The sequence below is a fragment of the Homo sapiens genome, chromosome 11 (assembly GCF_000001405.40).
Source record: "Homo sapiens chromosome 11, GRCh38.p14 Primary Assembly".
NCBI classification, from domain to species: Eukaryota; Metazoa; Chordata; class Mammalia; order Primates; family Hominidae; genus Homo; species Homo sapiens.
In genome coordinates, this window is record NC_000011.10 from 12,646,461 (window position 1) to 12,655,040 (window position 8,580).

Here is an 8,580-nt window from a genome sequence, read left to right on the forward strand (position 1 = left end):
CATAAGAGCTGATTATTAAAAAACAAACCAACAAACAAACAAAAATCTAGCATTTTCCCTTTCTCTTGCTTCCTCTCTCACCATATGATCACTGAACACATTGGCTTGCCTTCACCTCCTGCCATGAGTTGAAGCAGCCTGAATCCTTCACCAGAAGCAGATGCTGATGCTATGCTTATTTTACAGCATGAAGAACTGTGACGCAAATAAACCTCTTTTCTTTATAAGATACACAGCCTCCGGTATTCCTTTATAGCAACACTAAATGGACTAAGAAGGGAACTTCCCACCTTGCTAAAGAATATTTACAAAAAATTACTGCAGTTAACAGCATACTTAATGGTAAGTAACTTAAAATTTTCTGAATAAGATCAGAAACATGGAAAGAATGTTTCCTCTCATCATTAATTTTGAATATTGCACCGGAAGTTTCAGCCAATACAATAAGATTTAAAAATAAATAAATAAATAAAAGGGTTACAGATAGGGAAGAAAGAAAGAAAACAGGGGACATGATTATCTATGTAGAAAATCCAAAAAAATTCATTTAATAACTGGAAATAATAAGTGAACACAGCAATGTTATAGGATACAAGATTAATATACAAACGCCAATCACTTTTTATATATACCAGCAATAAACAGGTGGGATTTGCAAGTAAAAATACAATGCCATTTACCTTAGAACCAAGAGCAATGAAGTACTTAGGCATAAATCTAACAAAATATGTATTTAGGATGGTGCAAAGATAATTGTGGTTTTTGCAATTATTTTAATGGCAAAAACTGCAATTTCTTTTTCTTTCTTTTCTTTTTTTTTTTTTTTTTTTTTTTTGAGATGAAGTCTTGTTCTGTCACCCAGGCTGGAGTGCAATGGCACAATCTTGGCTCATTGCGACCTCTGCCTCCTGGGTTCAAGTGATTCTCCTGTCTCAGCCTCCCAAGTAGCTGGGATTATAGGCGTGTGCCACCAGGCCCAGCTAATTTTTTTGTATTTTTGTAGAGATGGGGTTTCTCCATGTTGGCCAGGCTGGTCTCGAACTCCTGACCTCAAGTGATCCACCCGCCTCACCCTCCCAAAGTGCTGGGATTATAGGGGTGAGCCACTGCACCTGGCCAAAAAAACTGCAATTTCTTTCATATACATGTTGGGTATGATATGAGAAAAGTTACAAAACTCCGATGAAAGAAGGACTAAATAAATGGAGGGAGATTCCATGTTCATGAATAGGAAGATTCAGTTATATTAATAGAGACGTTGTGAAAAGGAATCAAATAATAGCAAGATACTACTTTTTAATTCAAATTCAAAAAATACCTTTATAGAATTTCTAAAAATACAAAACAGTCCCTGAAATTAAAAACACAAGATACAGTGGGCTGCCTAAAGATCATATTAGATACTTCCAAGCTAGAAGACAAGGCTAAGATTGTAAAAGGAATGAAGTCTTAAAAAGAAAAATTGGGCCTGGTGCAGTGGCTCAGACCTGTAATTCCAGCACTTTGGGAGGCCTGGGTAGGTGGACTGTTTGAGCTCAGATGTTTGAGACCAGCCTGGGCGACATGACAAAACCCCATCTCTACATAAAACACACACACACACACACACACACACACACACACACACACACACAGTAACTGGGCATGGTGGCTCATGCCTGTAGTCCCAGCTACTTGGGGGACTGAGGTGGAAGGATCAATTGAGCCTTGGAGGTCAAGACTGCAGTGCACCATGATCACACCACTGCACTCCAGCCTGGGAGACAGACTAGCCCCACAACTTCCAAACCTGATGAAATATGTTAAAACAGATTTAAAGACTTCTTTGAACCCCAAGTTGGATAAATATAAAAAAAAACTATATACAGGTTTATTATAGTCAACCTGCTGAAAATCAAATGCAAAGAGTAAAATAAACATAGGAAAAAGCACATTGCCTTCAAAAGAAATAAGACTTGGATGCCTTTTGGCCGGGCGCAGTGGCCTGTAATCCCAGCACTTTGGGAGGCCGAAGTGGGTGGATCATGAAGTCAGGAGATCGAGACCATCCTGGCTCACACAGTGAAACCCCGTCTCTACTAAAAATACAAAAAATTAGCCGGGCATGGTGGCGGGCGCCTGTAGTCCCAGCTACTTGGGAGGCTGAGGCAGGAGAATGGCGTGAACCCGGGAGGCGGAGCTTGCAGTGAGCCAAGATTGCGCCACTGCACTCCAGCCTGGGGCACAGAGCGAGACTCCGTCTCAAAAAAAAAAAAAAAAAAAAAAAAAGAAAAGAAAAAAAAGTTAAAGTAAAAACTTTTCAGACAAAGCTAAGAAAATGTGTCACCAGAAGCCTTGTACTGTAAGAAATACTTAAGGGAATTCTTCATACTAAATGAAAATGATCCCAGTCAGAAGCATTTAACTATAAATATGTAGATAAAATAAATAAATTTTTACTGTTTAAAAACACTAGTAACAATGCCAGGTAGGGATTAATACATAGGTAGTAATAAAATGTGACAATAACATAAAGTGTATGATGGATATAAATGGAACCAAACTTGTAAAATTTTTTTTTTTTTGAGATGGAGTCTCACTCTGTCACCCAGGTTGGAGTGCAGTGGCACGATCTTGGCTCACTGCAACCTCCGCCTCCCAGGTTCAGGCAATTCTCCTGGCTCAGCCTCCTGAGTAACTGGGATTACAGGTGCCCACCACCATGCCTGGCTAATTTTTGTATTTCTAGTAGAGACAGGGTTTCACCATATTGGCCAGGCTGGTCTCAAACTCCTGACCTCAGGCGATCTGCCTGACTCGGCTTCCCAAAGTGCTGGGATTACAGGCGCGAGCCACTGTGTCCGACCAACTTGTAAATTTTTGGCATAGTTCAGAAAGTGGCAAAAGTATTCATTTAAGGTAGGCTTTAATAAATCAAGGAATATGTTGTCATTTATTTGGTAACCACTAAATGATTAATAAAAGTATACATTACTCGAAGACCAAAACAGAAGAAAAAGGTCATAAGAAAAATATTTTGTTAATCCAAAAGAGAGTAAGGGAGGAGCAAGGAAGAAACAAAGGAATAGAATGAACAAATAGAAAATGAACAGAAGGACAGTAGACCCAAACTCAATTGTATCATTAAGTATAAACATTAAATATAAATGGGTGAATCACTGCAATTAAAAGATAAATACTCTGAGGTGGGAACATCACTGGAGATCAGGAATTCAAGACCAGCCTGGGCAGCACAGCAAGACCCTGTCTCTTAAAACATGGAAAAAAAAATTAGCTGGGTGTGGTGGCATGTGCCTGTAGTCCCAGCTATTTGGGAAGCTGAGGCGAGAGGATAGTCAGAGCCAAGCCTTCAGTGAACCATGATCCGGTCACTGCACTCTAGCCTGGATGACAGAGCCAGACCCTGTCTCAAAAAATATATATTTATACTTTTTTAAAGGTCAACTATACGCTGTTTATATGGACCTGGCACAGTGGCCCATGCCTGTAATCCCAGCACTTTGGGAGGCCGAGGGGGGCGGATCGCCTGAGGTCAGGAGTTTGAGACCAGCCTGGCCAAAATGGTGAAACCCGTCTCCATTAAAAATACAAAAAAATTAGCTGGGCATGGTGGTGGGCACCTGTAATCCAACTACTCAGTAGGCTGAGCCGGGAGAATCGCTTGAACCCAGGAGGTGGAGGTTGCAGTGAGCCGAGATCATGCCACTGCACTCCAGCCTGGGCAACAGAGTGAGACTCCGTCTCAAAAAGAAAAAAAAGAAAGAAAGAAAAGAAAAAAAAAAGCAGGGGGAAAAAAATCCTTTTAAGTATAAAGTTAAGATACATTGAGAGAAAAAGAAGAAACATTGTATTTTGGTGTATGTTCCCTATACACTTGAAAATAATGTGCATTATGCAGTGGTTGGCTGTACTGTTCTATAAATGTCTATAAAGTCAAGTTGATTAATTGTACTTTTCAAATCTTTTATATCCTTAGTGAGTTTTTATCTGCTTGTTCTATCATTTCCTATAAGAGCTGATACCAAAGTTTTCAACTGTAATTGCGGATTTGCACAGTTCTCCTTTTACTTCCATTAATTTTTGCTTTTATATTTTGATACTGTCATTAAGTGCATAAATGTGCATATATACATAAGTGTATATATATGTTCATACATATATAAAAACAAAATAAGACACTAATGAAAGAAATATTACTAAAGTTAAAGAGATTTCATGTAATAAAAAGAAATTGGAAGATTCAACAACTTTTAAGCTGGAAATTTTAACAAGTACTTTGAATAGCAAAAATATAGACTATATTTGTTGAACATAGTAGATTTCAACTATAAATAAAATGTTAAAAGATTCCTAGAATCCTTAGATATTTTGAGATTGGTCACTTAATTTTGAATAGCCCATGGGTCATAGAATTAATCATAATGAATATCAGAAAATATTTTAAACTGAACAAACAGCAAAAAATTTGCTACATATAAAAATGTGTAAGAAGCAGTTACAGCAGTGCCTAGAGAGAAATGTAAAACGTTCAATGTATGTATGAGAAAAAGGAGAATGATTGAAAATAGATTATGAAAGTCTCCAATTTAGGCTAAAAAAAAAACAGGAAACAACCCAAATAAACTAGGATAGATAAGATCTGAAAACAATGAAAGAGAAAGTGAATATACAATATAGAAACTTAACAAACAAAGCCTAGAGTGGTTCTTTGAAGATATTATTAAAATCAATAAATACATAGAAAAATTGATGAAAATAAGGGAGAGAGCACAAATTATGAATTTCAAGAATTCTACAGATAAAAAGATAAAATGATATTATTAAATAATTTAGGGTAATATTTTGACAATTGGGATAAAATAAAATAAATTATTGCACAAATAAAAATATTGAAATAAAAAATACAAATTCTCAATAGTTCCATATCTACAAAATAAATTACATTTGTAATTTATAAACTTTCTCCAGAGAAACCCTCAAACTTAAATGTTCTCACTCTTGAGCTCTTCTAAATATATAATTGAAAAATTATTAATTTTACAGAAGCTCTTTGAGATCATAAAAATTTGACAGCATTTCCCAATTCATTTTATGAGTTAGCCTAATCTTGATACCAAAACCCAAAGAGGACATTCTAAGAAAGGAAAATTATAGATTACCATCTCTCATGAATCTAAACACAGTAATTCTATATTTAAAAATCCAGGGTTATGTAAAAAGAGTAATATATAATGACCAATGGGCTTTTTCCACTAATGCAAGTATATTCATTATCTATTACTGCATAATAACTTACTTCTTCTTCTATTTTTTTTTTTTTTTTTGAGACGGAGGCTCACTCTATCACCCAGGCTAGAGTGTGGTGGTGCCGTCTCAGCTCACTGCAACCTCGGTCTCCTGGGTTCAAGCGATTCTCTTGCCTCAGCCTCCCTAGTAGCTGGGACTACAGGCATGCATCACCATGACCGGCTAACTTCTATAGTTTTAGTAGAGACGGGGTTTCACCATATTGGCCAGGATGGTCTCGATCTCTTGACCTCATGATCTGCCTGCCTCACCCTCCCAAAGTGCTGGGATTACAGGCGTGAGCCACCGCGCCCGGCACTTCAATTTTCATGGTTTAAACAAAAAATATTTATTATCTCACAGTTTCCGTGGGTCAGAAGTTTGATAGTTGCTCAGAAAGGTAGATTTGGCTCTCAGGGTCTCTCATGAGGTTGCAGTTAAGATGTCAGCTGAGGCTGCAGTCATCTGAAGGTCTGAAGAGAACCAGATAGTTTTGCTCCCAAGATGGCTTACTTACATGGCTGTTGGCAGGAGGCTTCAGTTGCTTGACATGTGGGAAAGGATGTATATTTTATGATTTTATTTACATAGAATTTCTAGAAATGACAAAATTATACAAACAGAACAAACAGAAAACATTTCAGAGATTGCCTGGGGATTCGAAAAATAAGAGCAATGAACTGCATAGGGGAATAATAAGGAAAATTTTGGTGTGATAGCTTGTGATAGTAATTGCACAACGGGATAAATTTACAAAAACTCATCAAACTGTACACTTGAAGTTGGTGAATTTAAGATATGTAAAACACGCCTCAATAAATTTGTTAAAACATCAATCAGTATAATTCACCACATGAACAAAATAAATGAGAGTCTTACAAGTGTCTTACGAGATGCAGAAAAAGTATTTGATAACATTTAGCTCTCATAAACAATAAAGTCTTACAGTAGATTAGAAATAGAAGAGAACTTTCTTAATCTGCTGAAAAGGTTGTTACCAAAAAAAAAAAAAAAAAAAGCTAAAATTTAAAAAGGCTAACAACAAATGCTGTGGAGGATATAAAACATTTGGTACTCATATATTGCTTGTGGTAATAGAAAACAGCTCTATCATTATAATAAACTTTTGAAGTTTCTTATAAAGTTAAACAGACTTAATCTATGACCCAACAGTTCCTATCCTAGGGATTAACCCAAGAGAAATTAAAACTTAAGTTCACAAAAGGACTTGTATGGAAATATTTATAACAGCTTTATTTATAATAGCCCCAAACTAGAAACAGCTTAAATGTTCATCAAACAGGAGAGTGAATAAAAATTTATGTCATGCTAAAAATATTTTGCTCAGCAAAGAAGCCAAACACAAAATAATTCATGCTTTATGATTCCATGTATGTGAAATTTTAGAACAGCAAAACAAAAACATTAATAGAAATCAGCATAATGTTTGTGTATGTGGTGTGAGTAGTGACTAGAAGGAAGCAAGATAAAATTTGGGAGAATGTAGAAATGTTTTGTATGTTGATTGAGTTACTGGTTACAAGGATATACTAACATTCATAAGATCTGTTCATTTTTACGTATGTAAATTTTACCTGGATTTAAAACTCCTCAAAAATTTTATTTAAACATTTGCTACCTTCTCAATTCCATATTCAAAAGTAGGTTACGTTGCTTTTTCTTTGTTAATTATACTTTACAACATGCCTCTAAGTTCACAGTACCAAGTCTTAATAACTTATGTGGGACTAAAGCAGTGGTCCCCAACCTTTTTGGCACCAGGGACCTGTTTTGTGGAAAATATTTTTTCCACAGACCAAGGTAGGGGGATGGTTTTGAGATGATTCAAGCACATTACATTTATTGTGCACTTTATTTCTATTATTTTACAATGTAATATATAATAAAATAATTATAAACACCATAATGTAGAAACAGTGGGAGCCCTGAGCTTGTTTTCCTGCAACTAGATGGTCCCATCTTGGGGTGATGGGAGATAGTGACAGATCATCAGGCATTGGATTCTCAGAAGAAGCGTGCAACCTAGATCCTTCACACGCACAGTTCACAATAGGGTTCGCACTCCTATGAGAATCTAATGCCGCCACTGATCTGACAGGAGGTGGAGCTCATGCAGTCATGCAAGCAATGGGGAACCACTGTAAATACAGACGAAGCTTCACTCGCTGGCTCACTGCTCACCTCCTGCTGTGCGACTCATTCCTAACAGGCCACATACCTCCACAGGTATGTGGAGACCCCTGGGCTAAAGGATGTTTTTAAAAAAATTAGTTCTGAATTTTGCACATGTAAAACAAAATAAAAGCCTACAATATTCTATAGCTGAAATCCTACACAAAGGCAAAGTATTGAATATTCCCACTGATTTCATATAAGATAGGATATTCACTGTCACTGGTTTTATTCAGTTTTGTGCTGGAGATCTTAGCTCATATAATATGGCAAGAAAAATAAATAAAAATAAAGAATAGAAAAGATTAAAGAACTGAAACTGTCCTTATTTGCAGGAATATGATTAAGTACATAAGAAATATAAATGACTATTGAAATACTTAAGTAAATTTAGCAAGTTTGTTGGATACAAAGTCAATACATAAACAATTTTATTTCTACATACTAATAATACTTATAAAATTAAGGAAATAATTTCATTTACAAACAAAAAGTATTAAATACATGAGAATAAATCTAATGGAAAATGTTTAAGATCTTTAAATTGAAAACTACCAAATATTTCTAAGAGAAATTTAGGAAGACATAAATAAAGAGTCAATATTCAAAAGTCAATGTGATTCACCATATTAATAGGCCAAAGAAGAAAAGCTATATGACCATATCAACTGATGCAAAAAAAAATGCGCTTGACAAAATTTATTTTCTGTTTGTGATAAAAACACTCAGCAAACTAGAAAAAGGGGCCCCTTACCTTGATGAAGAGCATCTGCAAAAAAAAATAATGCTAATATCACACTTAATGATTAAAGACTGAATGTGTTCCCTCTAAATTCCAGAACAAAACAAGGATATTAGCTCTTATCACTTTGGTTTGACATAGCACTGGAAGGCCTAGCCAGCATGATAAAATAAGAAAATGAAATAAAAGGCATATAAATTGAGAAGAAAAAAAAACTGTCCCTATTTACAAATGACATAGCTATCTACATTAAAAAATCTCAAGGAATCTCTTTTACTTTTTATTTTGAGACAGGGTCTCAATTTGTTACCCAGGCTGGAGTGCAGTGGTGCAAACGTGGCTCACTGTAGCCTTGATCT